Raw genomic sequence first — 22,260 nt, forward strand, 5'->3', positions numbered from 1 at the left:
ATGTATGTATCAAGGACCCATATTTTTGTTATCTTTTCCTTCTGCCATTTTCCTATGTGTTATGTTTTCAACCTTAGTTTGTTGTCTCATGGTTGCAAGGTGGCTGCCACTGCTCCAGACATCACATCCTCACATAGGTGTTTTCTAGGCAGTAAGAAGGAATAGGTCTCTTTTCCATTTATGATTTTATCAGGGGGAAAAGCCATATCCAAAGTCCTTCCAGAAGACTTCACTTAATGTTTCTTTGGCCAGAAATGAGACTCTCCCAAATCAATCACTAGCAAAGGGCAATGGGTTCTTTTCTTTTCTTTTCTTTTCCTTTTCTTTTCTTTTCTTTTCTTTTCTTTTCTTTTCTTTTCTTTTCTTTTCTTTTCTTTTCTTTCCTTTTCTTTCCTCTCCTCTCCTCTGCTCTTCTTTTCTTTTCTTTTCTTTCTTTCTCTTGCTTGCTTGTCATGGTGTCACCCTGTCCCTAGGCTGAAGGGCAGTGGTGTGATCATAGCTCACTGCAACCTCAAACTCCTAGGGTCAAGCGATCCTCCCATCTCAGCCTCCCTAGTAGCTAGGACTACAGGTATACACTACCACACCTAACTAATATTTTTTAAATTCTTTTTAGAGACAGAGTCTCACTGTGCTGCCCAGGATGATGTTGAACTTCTGGCCTCAAGCAGTCCTCCTGCCTCAGCCTTCCAAAGAGCTGGGATTACAGGCATAAACCACTGTGCCTGCCCTGGCTGGGCAATGGATTTTAGAGGCCAATAATGATTCAACTTTTGAGATAAGGTGAAAGGCCCTTATCTTTCTGAGATAAGATGTCTTTAAAGTAAGGTGAATTTTGTTGTTCATTTTGCTATCTGAACAAGATTAAGAATTTATAAACTAATAAAGAAGAAAAAATGGTTGTTAAAATAGCAACCAACAGTGATTGAATAGTAAGGCTTCTCAACCCAAATTTGGAAATTTGTGAAGCTCATATTATAAATAAATTAATAGAATAACATGTTACCTTTGACATCTTATTTCACCTATCCATCCTGCTCATGGCAGCCAAACTTATCTTCCTGAAATACAGTTTTGACCATGCTAGAACTTTGCTCAAAAACTTTGCTGGCTGCCTATCACTACAAAACAGTCTCCAAAGCATGGCATGCAGTGCCTTTGGGATCTGTCTCCACGTTACCTTTTTAGTATTATCTTTTAGTGTAATCCCTCTCTGCCCTTGTCACACAACATTTGCCCTTCCTCTGACATGCTGTGCATTCCTGTGTCTGTTATTGCTGGCAATGCCTTTGCTCTCCTTATTTATTCCTCAATCCACCATTCTTTGGAGACCCAGCTGAAATGCCACCTCTTCCATGATGCCATTCACAATATTTCCAATTGCAACTGATCTCTATTATCTCTGTTCTCCTATTGTACCTACCATGCTCCATTGTAGGATATTTAGTGGCAAATGTATTTCGATTCCGTTTTACTCAGTTGTGTATCCTTACATTGCCTTCTAGAGGGATGGCAGATACACAGCACAGAAGCCACAAATCCCTATTTGTGAGCCCATGGAAGATATTACTATATGATTACAATATGATTTTCTACTAAGCCTAAATGTACATCAAGGCATCTCAGGACATTATTAATTGATTAACAACTGCTTCTGGCAGTTATTACTAGTGGATTACATGAAATCCACATTCTATCTCTAGCTACATTTATGGCCTTGTTCATAATCAAAGCTTAATGCTTTGGTTAGTTGAAGTGAATTTCACTACATAGATTCCATGATTGGTTTCCACCAATGACTACATTTATTTGGGAGATGGTAGAAATCTAGAGGATTATAATGCTATAGCATTACAGCATGTGGCGGAGCAAACCACATGGAAGAAATGCGCTAGTAAGAGAAATAAGTTCTTGCCAAAGGGAGGCCAGACTGTCAGACCTTTTTAGTTTTTTTTTTTTTCCTTAAGAAACCCACCAGGAAACCTTGTTATTTTCTTGGTTCAAAATCCAAGAATTAGATAAAGGTATACATCAACTTTGTAGGCTATGCTCTGGGAATCTCATGGGTCAAGGGAAGGAGTAAGAGTGTTTCTGAATGTCACAATCCATTTTATTATGGGCAAACTTTTATCAGACATGGCTGTAAGATCCCCCTTCGGAAACAGCAGGTATCTACAACAAATAAGATTTTTTAAACCATGCAGACATAAGTCTAATGTTCAGAAGTCAGTTTGGGAAATGGCAGAATAAGCAGGGCTTTTTAAAAAAAAGATTAGGTCAGTTTTGAATGTTTATCTATTTTTTTGAACCTATTGTAAGGCTGCACTGTCCAATATAGTAGCTGTCACATGCAGGTAAATTTAAATTAATTAAAATTAAATAAAATTTAAAATTTAGTTCCTCAGTCACAGGAGGCACATTTCAAGTGCTCAACTCCACATGTGGTTAGCAGCTACTGTATTGGACAGAGCAGATACTGAACATTTCCATGATCACAGAAAGGTCTAGTGGGCAGCACTGTTCTAAGGTCTCCTATAAAAGACTTGAACTCCTGTGAAATGTAGTTTAGGGTTTTTGCAGAAGTTTTGGTTCTATGCACCAATTAGATTCTTCAGTATTACCATTAATTATATTATGTAACTTTCAATGAAAGTTATACCCAAATCAATGCTTTTCTCTTTAGAGGTCTTTCTGTTTATAGTCTCATTCGAGATAAATATCAAGAAAGTTTTTACAGTTAGAAGCCTGTGTGGTAAGCAAGATTCTGTTATTTATTTTTTGTTGTTTCTTTATGGTGGTTAATGTCTTACCTGATCCATAGAGTTGCTTTTTGCAACCCTCTGCATGCTAAGTTGGCTATGTACTGTTTGGTTGTGTGAATGTAAATTGCCTAGGATTTTGCCTTACTAAGGAAGATACAGAGAATTCAATAATTAAATAAAAGGACTATTGGGAAATAATGTGCCATAAGGCTCCTAACTATTCTGGAATACTTTTATTCTTGCTTCTCTCTCTTAAATAAAAACTACTGTCTATAGAGAGATGCATTAAAAATAGGCCACATACAATATGGTTAAAGCTTCCATGTTAGTTTTAAATGGAGTTCATTTGAAATGAGTTAATCTAGGTTATGGTGGTTATTCAATATAAAGTTCATTCTTTGTTACAATTCAAAGCCATATGTTTACTTCATTTATTCCTGTAAAGATAAGATTAATTTTTTTTTTATTTAAGCAAGGTCAAATATGAATATAAAGAAATGTGTTGGGGCTTAGGAGTCAAAATCTCATTTTTCTTTCTACCCCTATGGTTCTGTAGATTATTAACTTTCCTTGTAATTTCCTATTAAGGTACCTCTTTGAATAAAGTCTAGATGGGCTACTTAGGATTCATATATTCTCTTTATCCACATGACACTGACGCTGAAAACTTGGTATATATTTGTAACAAATGAACCAAAATCTTCCCTTTTCAGCTTTATCATTGTCATGACAAGTCCTTTTCAGAGACAGCTGTATTGAGGTGGTAAATCACGTGGCTGAGTTTGATTCCCAGCTCCATCACTCCCGGTTGTATGGAACATAAAAGTTACTTAATGTTGTGTACTTCACTTCATCTCAAAGATGAGTTTGATTTCCAAACCTCCATCATCATAATAAATAGTGATATTATTTTTCAGTTGGGTTCCAAGTCTAAAATTCATTTTTCTTTCTGACTTAAACTTGTAAATTTTAAATGCAATTTATGTACAGTGAAACACAGATCTTAAGTATACAGTCTGATGAATTTTGACAAATGCATACACTATCAAGATATAGGAGATTTCTTAAAACCCACTATCAAGATATAGGAGATTTCTATCTCACCAGTACGTTCCTTTCACCTTTTCCCAACCAGTCCCCAAAACATCCACATGAGGCAATCACTATTTTGATTTTATGACTATAGCTTACTTTTATCTGTTGTGGAATTTCATGTAAATGGAATCATACAGCATGTATTCTTTTGTATAAGACTTTTCCCATTTTCTACTAATTATTTTGTTTTACTTTCTACTATAATGTTCCTTCCATTTACATTTTATGTAGAATAGCTGTCTTTAACACATTGAAAAATCATGGGTAGAGAGGTTAATTTTAAAAGTCTAAAAGAATGGCTTGGTGTTTAGGAAATGGCTTTGTAATTCTTAGCTACATGACCATGTGAGTTTCAGCAAGTTACTTAAACTCTCTGAACCACACATCACTTTAAAGTGATTGTTATATTTACCTCACAAGTATTTTTTATTAGCATGAAATAAAATCATGTATATGAAGTAACCCCACTTGAGGGCACTAAAAAATTGTCAATTCCCTCCTCTTTTAGGCCAATAAATCTTACAGTAGTAACCAACCTGTCGTTTGTCCATTTGTGACTGAGCACGTATCCAACAATTACAAAGAACGTATGACTATCGGTGCTTAGTAGGCTCAAGTCAAGGTTTTTCTCTTATACAATTACAGTTTATATTTATTTACCCTTTATTTCTGTGTATTAGCTCACTTAATCTTCATTGCATTTCCTATGAAAAATAGCTAGCATTATCTTTATTTTACAGATAAGGAAACCAAAACTCAACGTGGCTAGCTTGTCCAGAATCTCCCAAAAAGTTAGTAGATGATGAAGCCAGACTGGCACCAAAGCTTGCACTTTTAATGAGGCAATGATGAATCAATCCCCTGAGGTAGAGACAAGGGTGACCAAAGACCCTCAAGTTTGCTGCCACTGCTCTGCACCCAGGAGAATTTCCAGTACAACTTGGGGAACCAGGAACAGGCTGGACAGATGTGTGCATTCTCCAAAGCTCTCCATATGTTTTCTGTTGCCTGCTCAGGTAGTGCTTGGCTGTGAATTGACTATGGTCCAATGGCTCCTTTGTTGTTCCCTTACTCATGAAAAGGTCTGTGCTGTTTTGGCCATTTATATATGCCAGAGACTATTCTGGGCACTGGAAATATAGCAATATGCAAAATAGACCAAAAAATTCCGGCTCTAATGGAAGTTACATTCTAAATGGGGAAGATGGACAATAAGTGAATGAACAAACAGGTCCGTTTACTTATTTAATGTTGGGGACAATAAGTACTTTGGAGAAAAATAATATAGGGAAGAGGAACCTGCAGTGACAGAACATGGTATTTATTCGTCTAAATTGGGTGGTGAGGGAAGGCCTTAATTAATTTGGGGAAATTATAAGGTAAAGGACATGAGGAATGAGCCACACAGATGTGGAGCGGATTGGGAGAGGGTGTGTTCCTGGCAGAGAGAAGAGCAAGTCCAAAAGCACTACGTCAAGAGGCATCTTATAGGAATAGTCAGGAAACCAGTGACCCTAGTGCACAGTGAGCCGGGGAAGAAGAATAAGTGGGGCGTGAGAGGGGCCAATCATGGAGGGCCTTATTTGACATTTAAAACAATTTGGCTTTTATTATAAGTGAGATGCAAAGCCATTAAAGAATTCTGAGCAGAGAAAGCACATTAATTTGACTCATATTTTTAAAAGGATCGTTCTGGCTTCGGGGTTGAGAATGGACCATAGGAAGGCAAGGCTGGAAGCAGGGAGACCAGGTAGGAGGCTGTTGCAGTAACATAGGCAAAAGATCGTGTTGGTTTAGACCAGATTAGTATTAGAAGAGGTCATGGGAGGTGGTTGGATTCTAGATATGACTTGAGGCTCCAGCCAATAGGATTTGTTGACAGATGGGTTGTGGTTTGTGAAAGAGTGACCAAGATGTCGGGGGTTTTGTCCTGAGTCAGTGGGATGGAATCACTATCAACTGAGATGGGGAAGGCAGGGGGAGGAACAGGTCTGGGAAGGAACAACAGGATCCATTTTTGGACAAGTTGATAGGAGATGCCTGTTAGACATAAAGTGGAGATGTTGGGTAGGTGGATGAATATATGAGTCTAGTGTCTGGAACAAAGTCTGGGCTGAAGATGCAAATTTGAGGAATTGTCAGAAAAGAGAGATTCAAAGCTAAAGGCTAGATAAGCATACCTAGAGTGGGGGTGTGTTGACAGAAAAGGGAAGTCTAGTTAGAGTCTCTTTGGAACTGATAAAATGTAAGTTAAAATAAAAACTGTCACTCAGGTTTTCACAAAAGTTATTGGAGAGCTTTTATTCTTACTACCATTTAATATTTTCATTATATTTCTAGCTTATTACTCACTCACTCTTTTCCTTACTAAACAGGTTCTTATCATTTTATCTTTAGGATGAAAACTAGCCCTGCAGGCCACTTGTTCCAGATCTCTCACAGATTATTGGGCACTGAAGTTATAGTTGATCTCTTTTTGAAAGTACTCTCCACTCTTCAACTCTTTGTAGGTTAAGAGGAAGCCAAGGAGGCACAAAAACAAATATTTCCTTTGGACTCTAGGGCTTTATCAATGTGAGGAACAGAGTTTATTTCAAAAAACTTCTGCGCTCTTGTGAAAAGTAAAGAGAAGAAACATTTTGACTGTTTTGTTAATCTGTGACCTTGAGAACTGCCTTCATTTTATAACTGGAGAAGCAAAATCCTATTTTGTTGAGTGAATGAACAGAAATTATCTTCCCACTATCCTAGATGCAATCATATAATTTTCAGGTTGTTTGAAAAAGTCACCCTAAGAGTCATATAAAGATGAAACGAGAGATGAAATACCCGGAAATGTTTTGTTCCAGTTACTGTGGCTGCATAACAAATCACCCTAAAATTTAATGGAATAAAACATTTATTATACTCTGTAATTCTGTGGGTAATGAATTTGGAATGGGCGCAGCATGAATGGCTTGTCCTGCTCCACAATGCCTGGTCATCAGATGGAAGACAGGAGGGCTATGCGCTAGAATCATCTGAAGGTTCACTCACTCACTCGACCAGCAGCTGCTTCTAGGTGCCAAATGGAGCCACAGTTCCTCTCCACGTGGGCTTCTCATGTGGTCTCTCTGCATGGACTAGTTTGGACTAGTTTGTCACCATGCTGCGAGTTAGTCCAAAGGTGAGTGTGCCCTAAAGGGTTAGTTTCAAGGGTGAGTGCCGTAAAGGAGAGCCAGTGGGGCACTGTGTGCTTTGTATGGCCTAACTTCAGAAGTCATACAGCATCGCTTCTGCTGTCCTCAATTGGTAGGGGCAGTCTCAAGCTCACCCAGGTTCAGTGGAAGCAATAAAGGTTCCACATTTCAGTGGCACGAGCGTCAACCACATTGGAAGCAGAGCATGTAGATGGGATATACAGATTGGTGCAGCCATCTTTGCAAAAATACAATCTGCCAAAGATTTAGTGACTATCATGAGCATAAACTGTTAGATTTGCAGTCTTTTGCCTGGAAAGTAGAGAGGAGATAAACACCTCTGAGAGACTGGGTGAGGTAAGAACTTTTACATTGATTTTAGAAATATCCTTTTTACATTTTTTTAAAAATTTTTGGATTCCTATTCTGCAGACCATGAAAATGCTGCTTTGCAAAAGGTCTGTCTGTATCTCAGGTTCGCTGTTTCATTAGGACAGCATTTGTACAGAGTGTTGCTATATGACAAGCTTCTCACAAGGGCACAAGGAAGTGACATATTGTGGAGATGCAAACAATTACTGAAAGCCCTTGAGAGTGTGCAGGTATCACCCACAGGAGAGCAGAGAGAAGCTCTCCTATAAAGCTGACCCCCTCCCTGATCAAATACTAGTGAATTCTACCATATCCTTTGCTTAACATCTACCGATTTCCCTCAAGGCATGTGCAAAGAGAATCAGACTAAATCATACCCTTTATCTCTGTAGATTGAGATCTAGGGAAACAAGCTTGTCTTTTTCCACATACAAAGTCAGTGCCATGGACCCATTTTTAGAAGTGATGGGTGGTTTGGTCTCTGTTAGATGACAAGCTGAAAAGATTCAGAATTTCTAGATAAAGACTGAGAGAAAAATGATTGACATTATTGGTGTTATAAAGGTTCAGGACAAAGTGAACACAAATATGTGAATAAAATTTGGGGAATTATTAATATTTGACATGATTTCTAATTCCCAAGTAGTGAATATGCTATGAGTGGAAACATCGGGGTGATGTTTCTGGCTTTGCCCATATACAGTCCCATCAGAGGAAATTCTAGGCTCCCTACTAACCCTCTTGAACAAGATGACACCAAGCAGGAAGAAACCTTTTTAAAAATAAAGAGTGCCTAGGTCATAAAATATTAATGTTGATCTCAATGCATAATGCTGTTCAAATGGGCCAGAGTTTTGCAGTTTTCAAAGTATCATACAGCTAAGGCAGAGCTTTATTGATTTTTATATGATTTTTATGTGATTTTTATCAGCCTCTGTATATTGGAACCTTAGAACGTTGGACTATCAAGTTCCTACAAGTGTTGGGATTTGGCTGTTTGAGTGGTTGCAGGGGCAGAGGCATCCAAGGTCAAGGTGGGTGCTATGAGAGCATTGTAGGGTCCAGGCTGACTTGATAAAGGCTGGGAAGTATTTGGGGGTCAGGGAAAGTGAGAGAACCAAGGATAGAGAAGTTAGTTTTCCTAGGAATGGATCACCTCATGGAGGCACTGTTGAAAAGATCTGGAAGGAAAGTAGCAGTGGGAGGTTGGATTAGGGATGAGCAAGTCCAGACCAGTTCCAAGATAAGTTTAGAAAAAAAAAGAAAAGGAAAGGAAAAGGAAAAAGATGACCTGGGTCAGAGGTGGAGAACTTACATTTTGATTGCTGGGAGATCATGTGAATTTTGTGTAACTCAAACTCTCAAACAGAATAATAATTTATGTAGTAGGGTAAGTCTCTGGCTTATGTGGTAGAGGCTTTTAGTGCTTACCCTATCCTGTTCACTTCTCTTCTCAGCTCAGGGGAGGTTACTCTTGCCCTTCCATCTTTTGTTTGGATGGAGTCATGTAACTAGTCTGGCCCCTGGGTTGTGGGCAAAAGTGATGTGTGAACCAAAGTATTTATGGTGTTATGTGTTGGTGTTATGACCCACCACTCTTTTTCCTCTGCTATCAGAAGCTGAGATATTCTAGATGACAGAGACTCCAATAGTCCGGGTGCTAGAGCGAGGACAATATGGAGCAGAGAGTCCCCACCCATAGACCTGCTGATGTGAGATACACATCTTCTATGGGCAAGAAATAACATATTGTATTGAGCTGCTGAGATTTTGACACAGTTTATGACCTCAGCATAACTTATTCTGAAAGACACAATTCAGATGTGCATGTATTATACTATTATTTTCTATAATTTATTTCACTTGGCCATCAAGTCTGCATCTCATTAGAGGCTGGCCAGGGAACTTAAAATGTGCCAATTGATGGTAACAGTCTCATTTTATATGCATATTCAAGCTCTCAGAGTTTCTTCCCTGGACAACACAGTATCTCGACATAGAGGGCAGCTAATTTATCCTTGTGGCAGACGGGAGAAGAGGGCTTTATGCTCTTGCTGTTCCCTGGATACCCTCCTGGCTTCAACTGCAGAAGTTGATGGCTAGGACTGCTGCTGATTCAGTTCTATCTAGGTTCTCCTAGGCCTTGCTAGGAGAACAGGTCCTCTCCTAGGTCCTCAGCTCTCAAGTCCCACCTAAGCCTTATCCAGTATCCTTGCCCAGGATGTCCACTCCATGGCCCATGTCCACCCCATGGAGTTACTTTTTCAGCCTGGTAATCTTTACTCTCAGCTACAATTTTTGTGCCCCTCATTGGCCTGTGGGCATGTCTGAATCCTGTTTTTATTACCTTCTCTCTATCTTGCATTTCTCTCCTTTCATCGTCCACTCCTGCTGCCTGAGCTAAGGAGCAGAGGGGTGGGAGCACTGGCCCCTTATGAGACCAAGCAAACCCTTCCTCCTACATTCTTTCCTTCTCAATCTTTTTTCCCCTCCAGATAGGGTATGACCTGCCCTCTCTGTTGGGGATACCCCCTAAGGCATTCCCTTCTTCCTGTTCATCTGCAGACATCTTTGTTCTAGGTGGCTCTGCCTCCTTTCCCAAGGCATTAAGCCTCATGGCTTAGTTTTAATAGTGAATATGATTAATGAGGACAATTTTTTTAAAACTTGAGGTTAACTTTTTAAGATAATTACATTAGCATTTATAAAGTACTTTCTCCATGGAAATTCTGCCTACTAGCCTGACATTATTGGCATTTGCTGCCCACTTGGCAGTGAATCTTGTGGCTTCCAGTGTGTGGTCAGCCTGTTGAGGAATGTGGACTCACCTGGGGTAGACGCTCATGGTTCAAGTTGGTGAGTCAACTAGGAGAGCTTTTGGATCACTATATATAAAATATTTGTCTGCAGTGAAATAAGCCAAGAGTTTAGCCTCAAATTCCCATGGGAATCCTATGGGAAATATAATCCTTTCTCTTAGGTCTGCCAGTTGCCTTGTTTTCCTGAACACCATAGCCCAGTTTCCTCTAGGGGCTCATTCACAGAGAGTCATGGCTTATGCCAAGACTAGCAAGGATCAAATGAATAAATGCAAAGATGTACAATTTTTTAAACTTTCTTTTGGTCACATCTTTGTTCTTTATATTGAGGCTTTGAGTGGATTTTGTCTTAAGACAAATTCTCCTTTTTGTATAGGGTACATTGTCTAATTTTGTACCTCTCTTATGGGGTATGCACATAAATATGAGGTCCATGGATCATTTTAAGCCAAACCCATGGGAGTCTTGCTGCTTTTAAGCCTTGAGGATGGTTTGACCTGGAGACTATTAGTTGCTTTTCATGCAAAATAATAATTACTCGAGCTTTTAAATTCTGTTTTTAGTTTGCTGCTGAATATTTTTTAGCCATGTGTGATCTTGTATTTGTTGAACCCAAGATACTCTTTCAAGTCCCCACCAAACAATCAAATTATATTTCAGAAATATGCCATCTGTCTTTGTCACTCTCAGATGCTGAAAGCTTGTGCTAGATGAGAGCTGCTACATTTTTCTCTGGTGGCAGGGATGATACAGAGAAAACTATTCTTCCCTCTTTAGTTAACACAGTGATGATGGGTGCATGTTTGCGAGCAGAGGTATGGCATTTTTGACATAAGATAAATTCCTAACAGCTGTCTTGAAATGAATCTCTTGATTCATTTCAACCTTATTTGTTTATATTGAACAACTTTGTCTATTTCTCAGGTTTACTTCTTAACCAAGCTACTTTTATGACTACTAGTTCTTGCAGAACTGAATCTGCTTCATGCAGGTACAATTAGACTGAGACTTGTTATGCACTCATGCCATGGCCATATACCTCTAGTTTCACGCCTTATGGCTTGCTGGTGCCACAGACATGGAATTCTGCTCCATAATTACAGATATTCAAATTTCTAAAACTTTAGGGGAGTAAATCCTTGAGTGGGAGAAAGGAGGAGACAGATAAATCCTTCCCTCTTTTGTCCCCAGGATGGACGCTTCTGAGATGCAGGTCACCAGACTCTGGCACATCCTGGTAGACCAAGCACTGGCTGCTCATAGTAGTGGCCAACTCAGTAATACATCCCTGTATCAGCTTTGCCTTCTTCCTATTTTGCTTTCCCTGTCCTGTACACTTGCTTCCTGGGAAGCATATTCCAAAATAAACTATCTGGAAGGAAGTTTTTGCCTCAGGCTCTGCTTTGGGGGAATCCAGGCTAAGATAGAATTCTTCCTCATAAAATAGGAGCTAGCATTTTCTCTTGTTTCATATCATTTCTTACTAAAGTGTACCAATAGAGAGTCAAACATAAAGAGAAGCTTTTCTCAGTTTGGTGAAGGTGTGCGTGTGTATGTATATATCTGAGCATATAACTGCATTACAAAGCTAGTTCTAGTAATTATTTAGTTATCCACATAAAAAGACAGACAGATTACCTAAAAATAATGTATTTTTGATATTGAGATACACCCACTCCCATATTTACTGACAGTCAAAACTCTTCTCTTCTATTCCTAGCTCCAAGTTTCTTCCAACTTGATACTTCTTTTATAACCTAGAATCCTGTGGTATGATGGTGGGGAAGAGATCTTGGGAAGTCCACAAAGCAAATAAACTAGTTTAAGAGTTAAATTGTAATTATCTGCTGCTTGACATAATTCACATTTTATTCCCATCAAATAATTAAGGATTGATTGAATTGATAATGATGATATAATATGATTTCTTTTTACTTTAAAAACCTGTTCAGTTTGAAACATTGTCAAAATGGCTATCAGGAGAATTTAGGGGGTTAAAAGAGAAGGGGGTTAGAAAAACACCTTCTTAAGTGAAGCTGGCCCCCCTCCAAATTCTAGTGTCTCATGATCATGGAGAGGAATTCTGATGACCATTTCCATAATCAATGTCTTGAGGAGGAATTTATTTTTTAGCCCGGGAAGATAGGATCCTATCAGAATCTCAAAGGTATGAGAATGTTACAAGAGAGCTTTGGAAAAGGGGTGTCCCTAAAATTTGGCCACCCATCAGGGATGCAGAAATTGGGTTTCAACTCATTTGATAGCATGCTTCAAATTATTTTTATCCTATTATTGCTCCTTTCTTTGTAACCAGTAGATACCATGTGGATTCTGGCTTCTTTATCCTTTTGCAAGCACAGGCAAAAATTAGAGAAAACTCGGAATTACCCCTTTTCTTGTGGTTGCGTTATATGAGTAATTATCCATCATGAAATCCCTTCAACCTTCTGTTCAGTTTTGATCACTTTATTTCCTTTGGTGAATCATAAGAACCATGATTGCACATATGTTCTTTTTTAAATCTTTAATTAATACTCCAGTTGGATAAAGAATTTGAGAAATTGATTACCTTAATTTGAACTATTTTGGTTGCAAATGATAGAAAGCCAAGTAACAGTGGTTGGAGCAGAGATGCTGTGGTGTCTCAAAGATCTCAAGAGCAGAAGTGGGGCTGGGCTGCCAATGTTCAGCAGACCTCTGACTTCACCTTTTGCCTTTCTGTGTCTTTATCTTTATTTTGTACTTCATTTCTTTCTTTCTCACTCTCTCAACTGGCATACTCTGCTCACATGGGAAGGAAACATGGCTGTTAACAGAACCTATCTGAGTTTTTCATTTATAATTTCAGTCACCTGGGAAGAGATTGACCTTCCTTGTTTTCAATGGCCAAATCCCTGGTGAAGGACCCTAAGTGGTCAGCTTGGATACTATGCTTACCCTAGAACCAATCTGCTAGCCAGGACAGGTCATGGGAGGTGATTGGCCTACATATCTTCTCCTGGACCAATTAACTGAAGCCAGGGACACTTTGTGCAAGATGATTAGTCTAGAGTTTACCATCTTGATAGAGTGGGGCAGAGGATGGGAAGGGGTGATTTCCAGAAGAAAGTAGTGGAGGAGTACAGGTGGCTGTATGTAGTTTAGCAAAAATAGTTCATTACATTGATCTGAAGGAATTAGAATCTTATAGTCCATAAGGTAAATTTTACATAAAATATCACATGCCTCTGGTGCTGTGAGTTCCTTTAGAAAAAGTGTTTTTTTTTCTTTCGATTTACTAATTTATTTTTTATTTCCATAGGTTTTTGGGGAACAGGTGGTGTTTGGTTACGTGAATAAGTTCTTCAGTGGTGATTTCTGAGATTTTGGTGCACCCATCACCCGAGGAATTGCCTGCTGCTTGAGATACACTGTACCCAGTCTGTAGGCTTTTATCCCTCACCCCCTCTTACCCTTTTCCCCAAGCCCGCAAAGTCCATTATATCATTCTTATGCCTTTGCATCCTCATAGCTTAGCTCCAACTTATAAGTGAGAAGATACGATGTTTGGTTTTCCATTCCTGAGTTACTTCACTTAGAATAATGGTCTCCAACTCCATCCAGGTTGCTGTGAATGCCATTATTTCATTCCTTTTTATGGCTGAATAGTACTCCATGGTATGTGTGTGTGTGTGTGTGTGTGTGTGTGTGTATGTGTGTATATATATGTGTGTGTGTGTGTATATGTGTGTGTGTGTGTGTGTGTGTGTATATCTCACAATTCCTTTATCCACTCATTGATTGATGGGAATTTGGGCTGGTTCCATATTTTTGCAGTTGCAAATTGTGTTGCTATAAACGTGTGTGTGCAAGTATCTTTTTCGTACAATGACTTCTTTTCCTTTGAGTAGATACCCAGCAGTGGGATTGCTGCATCAAATGGTAGTTCTACTTTTAGTTCATTAAGGAATCTCCACACTGTTTTCCACAGCGGTTGTACTAGTTTACATTCCCAGCAGTGTGAAAGTGTTCCCCTTTCACTGCATTGCTGCCAACATCTATTTTTTTTTTTTTTTTTACCTTTCGATTATGGCCATTCTTAAAGGAGTGAGGTGGTATCGCATTGTGGTTTTGATTTGCATTTCCCTGATCATTAGTGATGTTGAGCATTTTTCCATATGCTTGTTGGCCATTTGTATATCTTCTTTTGAGAATTGTCTATTCGTGTCCTTAGCCCATTTTTTGATGGGATTTTTTTTTTCTTGGTAATTTGTTTGGGTTCCCTGTAGAGTCTGGATATTAGTCCTTTGTCGGATATATAGATTGTGAAGATTTTCTCTCACTCTGTGGGTTGTCTGTTTACTCTGCTGATTGTTTCTTTTGCTTTTTAGAGACATTTTAGTTTAAGTCCCATCTATTTATCATTGTTTTTGTTGCATTTACTTTGGGGTTCTTGGTCATGAAGTTTTTGCCTAAGCCAATGTCTAGAAGGGTTTTTTTGATGTTCTAGAATTTTTATGGTTTCAAGTCATTCTTCACAGAACTAGAAAAGACAATCCTAAAATTCATATGGAACCAAAAAAGAGCCCACATAGCCAAAGTGAAAAGAACAAACCTGGAGGCATCATATTAACTGACTTCAAACTATGCTATAAGTCCATAGTCACCGAAACAGCATGGTGACTATAGTATAAAAATAGGCACATAAACCAATGGAACAGAATAGAGGACCCAGAAATAAAGCCAAATACTTACAGCTAACTGATCTTTGATAAAGCAAACAAAAACATAAAGTGAGGAAAGGACACCCTATTCAACAAATGGTGCTAGGATAGTTGGCAAGCCACATGAAGAAGAATGAATCTGGATCGTTTTCTCTCACCTTATACAAAAGTCAACTCGAGATGGATTAAGGACTTAAATCTAATAGTGGTGTTTTAAAATATTAATATCTAGTTCCTGATTATGTCATGGATAAAGGTGATATAACAATTCAGTAAAAACATCCAGTGGTATTAGAAGTATGTGAATGTTGCAATGTTGATAGCAATGAAAATGAAACATCAAATCATTGTAATTTGGTTTCATTTGCTCAGCTACTAAAATGCCTTTTCAATTAAATGTGTATTTATTTTTATTTGCTATTAATTATGCAAATAATAAGTGATTAAGCAGCCATACTCTGGAAATATTTTGCTTGGTTTGATATTTTTAACTTTGCCATGTACTGGCTGTACAGCCTTGGAAAAATTACATGTGTCCCAAATTGCTTATCTGTAATTGGGATAATAATTTTGTCTTCTCAGTAAGGTTATTGTGAGATAAAATTAGGTAATACAAGTAAAGTGCTTAGAATAGTGCCCAAAATGTAGTCAGTATTCAATAAATGTTAGCTATTGTTATTATTAGTATACTTGTTGGGCATTATGACTTTCAAGATTATAAATGAACGGTAAAAAATGAACTTTCTTATATACCTTTTAACATTTCACTGAAATGCTCACTTAAAATAGGCTCTTTGTGAAAAGTTTGTAAGTTCCATCACATAAAAATACAAAGTCAAGGTTACTGGTCATGCTTTGAAGACCTAAGCCACAGTCTGCTCTAGGTATTCATTAAAACTTTTCCCAAATGTTCTATTTCACAGATGTTCCAGCACTCTTTCCTTCAGAGCACGTAGTAGGATTTTATTTTCTACACCTTCCATGGTAAGTGTGGCTGTGTGACTTGCTTTGGCCAATGATTCATAATATATCTGGATAGAGTCAAAGTATGTTTTGCCACATTCTCTTTTCCTCTACTATGACAACTGACCACCTCTAAGATCAGCCTTCTCCAGTAGCCTGAATCTCTCACTGAGAATGACAACTCACAATGGCTTTGAGGCATGATCAGCAAAGAAATTTTTTGTGTTTTAAATCACCGAGATTTTGCTATCTTCAATTCCAGTGGATCTAAGGCCCTTCAAATAAGGCCTCTAAAAAGAGGGTATCTTCAGGCATTGAGTGTGGCTAGGCTGGTTCTTTTTTGACTACATACAAGAATGAACATCTGTATAATTAGGTTATCAGTTTCAAAGAACATTACTAAGAGCAAACGTTCGAATGCAGGATAAAAACACCCACATTTTGTGTAACAATGCTGTTATTATTTAAAACTCTGGCATCAATTTAAAATTTATATTAAAGTAATAAATTTCTAACCCATCCTCATAGAAGCAGATCTCATTTTTAAGGCTGCCATCTCCTTTTGCCTTGTAAGGCCCATATACACATCATTCCAACACTTCCTAATGCTGTATTGATAAACTATCTTTCATTGTCCTGTCTAGTTTTAATTATCCATTAAAACCATCTCTTTCTCTTCTCTAATTTATGACACCTAATTTTCTCTATCCAGGAATTTCTATCCAGAAATTCCTTCAGGTTAAGTCATTTTTTAATTTCTTTTACCCATCTTAAAACTTAAGTACAGTTTATTTGTTCCTTGAAAAGAATGTTTTCTGTAATCTCTGGGCAAGGAATGAGTATCCAGTTGGGTTAAGGACCAGTTTCGAACTTGTGGAAATTTGATTTTATTGCAGATAGAGTTTTGCTGTACCATTTCCTCTGCTTCCAGTTGGCCAACAGAATCTTTTTAGTTTTTTTCCTCTGAAATGCTTCTTAAATCCACTCACACTTTTGCATCCCATGGACAGCACCATAGATCAGGTTCTCCTTATCTCTTGCTCATAAATTTCAAGCTACCCTACTGGTTTCCCTGGAACTATTCTCTCATCTACCATCAGAATTACCATTCTGGAAACCAAATTCTAGAAGCTCACTGTCTGCCCAGGGAATTAAATGAACGCTTCAGCATTTATAGTCCCTCTTCCATCTTATATTTTCTCCGCCACCTCGCAGGCTCCCATATCCACAATCCTGTAATGACACACTCTCGCCATTTGCTGCAAATATAGCTCTTCTAGTCCCTGATGCTCTCACCATGAGCTAAAGTATCTTTCTATTCTATCTTGTAATGGTTTGCTGGGGCTGCAATACTAAATACCACAGATGGGAGGCTTAAGCAACAGAAATTTATTTTCCCACAGTCCTGGAAGCTAGAAGTCTAAGATCTAGGTGCCAGCCAAGTTGGCTTCCTCTGCAGCTCCTTTCCTTGGCTCACAAATGACGGCCCTCTCGCTGCCTCTTCACATGGTCGTCACTCTGTGCACGCGCACCCTGGCATGTCGTTTGAGTGTCCTAACCTTCTCTTCTTATAAAGACACCAGTTTGATTGGATTAGGGCCCACCCTATGGGCCTTGTTTTAACTTAATCACCTCTTTATTGGCCCTATCTTCAAATACTGTCATATTTTGAGGTACTGGGGTTAGGGCTTCAACACAGGACTTTGGTGGAAGGAAACAATTCAGCCTATAATATAACCCATTTTCCAACTATTTATCCTTCAATATCTACTTTCCTGGGAAGCTTTCCTTGACTCCTCTAATTACTGACTCCTCGGTGCTCCCATAGCCCTTGGCACTTACCTCTGTTGTCACACTAACTGTACAGTATTGTAATAACTGATGTCACAGATTGGTAAATTTTTTCTTAAAGGGCCAGGTGGTAGATATTTTAGGCTTTACAAGCCAAACAGTCACTGTCATCACATTGCAGCAAAAGGAGTGCAGAGAGTTCTATATGTTCTCGGGTGACCGTATATGGGGGCATCACAAGCCCACAGTAGAGGACTTGTTCTTGGAATTTTACCCTAAGGATGGTAAACTGCATGAAAACATCTTTTGCTATGTATTCATTTACTTCTCATGAAAATCTAGTGCAGCTTAGGGAGTGACAGGACAAATACATTTTGCTACCAGATGCCATTTGGCCACCCATGCCATGGTTTAAGGAGCTGGGTGTTAATAGCAACTCAGATAGCTGTGGGATCCAGAGAAGGTCATTTAATCTCTTGGGAAAATTTTCTTTTTTCCTTTTTTTTTTTTTTTTTTTTTTTGAGGCAGGGTCTTGCTGTATTGCCCATGCTGGAGTGCAGTGGTGCTATCATGGCTCACTGAAGCCTTGACTTCTTGGGCTCAAGGGATTCTTCCCACTGCAGCCTCCCAAGTAGCTGGGACTACAGGTGTGCACCACCACACATGGCTAATTTTTGTATTTTTCTATAGAGACCAGGTTTCACCCTGTTGCTCAGGCTGGCCTTAAACTCCTGGGCTCAGGGGATCCTCCCACCTAGGCCTTCCAAAGTGTCGGGATTGCAGGTGTGAGCCACCATACCCAGCTTGCCTGGGACAAATTTCTAATTAAAAAAATAAATAGTTGGACTGAAAGCATTTTCAATGAAAGACCAATTGGCATTGAAGCAGGACAATTCTTTCACATGTAAGACTATCCTGCACATTGCAGGAAATTTTAAGTCTCTAGCTTCTGACCGGTAGCACCTCCTGGCCTTTATGGCAACCCAAAACATCCCCAAATATTTCCAAACAATCTGAGTTTTGAACACCTTGGATAATCTCAAAATCTCTTCAAATTCTGGAATTTTATGGCTTATATATATATTTTGACAGTTAAATATATGGCAAATGCCTCTTTGTCTGAAATCTATGCTAATTAGAAAGCTCAGATAACCAGTTTGTTTTGTACGTATTGTGGGGGTAGATATTGTATATTCTGACTCTTTGTATTTTGAGAAAGCAAGTAAGTCAATAATTTGTGTTAATTCTGAAATGTTGCATATAAGGCACATCATTGGGATTTAACCCAATCTTTAATCCTTTTGCAACTTACAAAATGGTAGCCATTGGCCACATATGACTATTTAAATTTAAATTCAGATTACCTAAAATTAAGTAAAATTAAGAATTCAGTATCCCAGTCATACCTGTCACATTTTACTATACATGTGGCTCATTGCTATCATATTGAAGAGTATAGATATAGGGTACTTCTTCCCACACAGAAAGCTCTAATAATGTGGTTTCTACTGTCCTAGTTTAACCAGTTATAACTGACTCAAGCTATGTCATGCAACATTTTATTTTACTCAGTTCATTTTTAATACTGAAAATCTCATTATATTCTAATTAGCTGCAATCCAGACATGAAAACTTTGCAAGAAGGCTGAACATTTACTATAATTCATAAAATATACATTTGGCAATTAAGATATTTTAAATTTTTATAGGATGATCAGAATCTAGAAGAACTGACAGCCCAGATTTTTATATATGGAGGCCTAATAAGACATGATTATCTATTTTGAAGAGCCTTGCAACCACAGGCATTTCCACAGTCAGCCCTTCTCATACAAGTTTGGAGCCATTAGAGACAGAAAAAGTCACTCTGATTTGGCACAAGTCTTTTGACTGTGTGAGTTCACCTGCTGAAGGAGGCCTGCTTGCTGCCTCATGTTAGAATTAAACACTCTGGGGACTGTTGTGGGGTGGGGGGAGGGGGGAGGGATAGCATTGGGAGATATACCTAATGCTAGATGATGAGTTAGTGGGTGCAGCACACCAGCATGGCACATGTATACGTATGTAACTAACCTGCACAATGTGCACATGTACCCTAAAACTTAAAGTATAATAATAATAAAAAAAAAAAGAGTTTGTCTGGAGGGGGCCTGTTTCACTTTTTTGCCTCGCTGGAACCTCACATGTCTCCATCCTGTCCCAGAATGCAGGAATAGAGCTTGAAGTCTCAGAATGAATGAGGCAAGTGTAAGATCACAGGTAGGTTGATGAGTCCCTCATAACCACATGTGCTATGTTTTAATTAGTGGAGCTTTTCTTATCTCCATGGCTGTATTTTAATTGCCTGTGAGGCAGCCTGGCTTCCTAGATGAAGGCTCACACAGCCCCTTGGAGACCCAACAATGATTTATTGGTGCTTATCCAAAAGTTCCAGATGGCTTCCTGTTATGGCAGCTTTAACTCAACTCACAGTTACAGGTAAGAGACCTATAGGTGACAGCCAAGCTGATTGTCAGGCCCTTTTACCAATCTCTAACTGTGAGAATCCATTCCTCTTTGGAGAACCCTTCAAATGGGTAAATAACCTCTTGTATTGTGCAGTCCTAATAACTAGCACTGATGACATATTTACCTGGCAGTAGGCACTGGGCTAAGATTTTTACATATATATTTCACTTATTCCCCCCAACTAGATAAGGAGTGTTTTATTACTAGCTTTGATCTCAGAGACATTACATAACCTACTGAAAGCCATAAAGTAAGGAAGATATAGGGCTGAGATTTGAACCCAGGCAATCTCACTCCATTGTGTGTGTGTGTGTGTGTCACATATGACTCCATTAAATGTTTGACATACTTTTCTATTTCATCTTCTTTACAGTCCTATGCAGTAGAAAAAGGCCCAACATAAAGCCAAAGAAAGAGTCAAGGACCCCAACATAGACAAGTTAAATTTCAAAACCCCTCAACAAACTGACTTTCTCGTCCTCAGACAAAATCATGCCTACAACATGACGTGACAAATATGAGAGGAGAGGACAGACCTGGAGAGGAAAAGACTACCTGCCTATGTGACAGACCCCTTCCAATTAGGCTATACTTTCCATCAAGAATTACTCTGGTAACCTCAAAAAAGAGGCAGTTATTCTGTTTTTTTTTTTTTCTTTCTGAGACATAGTCTTGCTCTGTCGCTCAGGCTGGAGTACAGTGGTGCGCTCTTGGCTCATTGCAACCTCTGCCTCCCAGGTTCTAGCAATTCTCCTGCCTCAGCCTCCTGAGTAGCTGGGATTACAGGTACGTGCCACCATGCTCAGCTAATTTTTTTTATTTTTAGTAGAGATGGGGTTTCACCATGTTGTCCAGGCTGTTCTTGAACTCCTGACCTCAAGTGATTCTCCCACCTTGGCCTCCCAAAGTGCTAGGATTACAGGCATGAGCCACCATGCCTGGCCCAAGGGGCAGTCATTCTAAAGCTACATTTGGGGGCAAAGAAAAATGAAGGATCTCACGGAAATCTACCCAGTGGGTTTGGGCCTCCTGGACCCAGGAGGTGGAGAGGGGTTTGGGATCTGGGAAAGTTCAAGGCGTTTCAGGAATCCACTCTTTGGGTTCCTCCATTATCAGGATCAGCTTCTCAGTACATCTGCTTCTCTCTGAGATGCCAACATCTGCCTCATGCCACCCTCTGCCTTATTCCCCTATTTCCAATGCCACTGATGAAAGAAAAGATTGGATTGGCTCTGCAATATCCATCATCTCCATTTGGGCAGAACCCCTCCTGCCCAAACCAAAGGCAGATGATTGGCTGCCTTTGTGTCCGGCGCCCACCCAAGGCCCAATCACCTGTAGCTCATGGGGCAGGGCAGGATAAGGATGGGTGGGACATAAGAAATTGAAAATCTTTGCCCCCTAGATTAAACCTCCTGCAGAGCTGTTTCCCACCGAATGGGCTGGGGATTTATGGGCATTGAAACTCATGTATCATTTACAGAGAAAAAGTACTGCAATTTTACATAAATAAGATTAAAATTCACTCCTGTCTAGTGGCTGTTTACATTTTGGGAGGTGATTTCTCAATTTTCTCCTGGTTACATAGCTCTTTCCATAGCAAGTCAACCCAAAGTACTCCCCATACCCTTGCAAATCAGATTTAGATACAATTCCTATGTATTCTGTATGTTAAAAATGTTTTCACTAGGAAATTTCTCTGACTCAAAGTCACCCTAAAACAGGATGCCCAGCTTCTGAAGGTCTCATCTGGGATTTTGATTGAGGGTTTCAGGCCTTAAATTTTAATTTTTTAGTATGTTCTTTGACATATAACCATTCTCACATAAATTCTGAGAGTTAATGTTTTCTGCTGGTGTATACCCTACCTAGTGGTTCTCAGCTCTAGCTACACAGCAGAATCATCCAGGGAACTTTTAAAAAATACTTCAGCCAGCAACGTACCCGAAAATTCTGACTTAATTGTTCTGGGAAGGCCTGAGCACGTTTAAAAAGCTCCCTGGGCGATATTAATGCAAAGCCAGCATTCATAACCACAGTTCTCAAAGTGTGGTCCTCAACCAGCAGC

General features: G+C 39.1%; 1 long non-coding RNA gene across 1 annotated transcript in view; it reads left to right on the top strand.

Moving 5' to 3' along the window:
* NPHP3-AS1 (NPHP3 antisense RNA 1) overlaps positions 1–22,260 on the top strand; it is a 152,462-nt gene that overhangs the window by 90,343 nt on the left and 39,859 nt on the right. The window contains exons 6-9 of the long non-coding RNA NR_002811.2: positions 617–783; positions 4,598–4,873; positions 6,255–7,023; positions 15,854–15,914. This is a non-coding gene — a long non-coding RNA (NPHP3 antisense RNA 1). The remainder of the gene's footprint in view (positions 1–616; positions 784–4,597; positions 4,874–6,254; positions 7,024–15,853; positions 15,915–22,260) is intronic.

Source organism: Homo sapiens, chromosome 3, assembly GCF_000001405.40.
Source record: "Homo sapiens chromosome 3, GRCh38.p14 Primary Assembly".
Taxonomy (NCBI): Eukaryota; Metazoa; Chordata; class Mammalia; order Primates; family Hominidae; genus Homo; species Homo sapiens.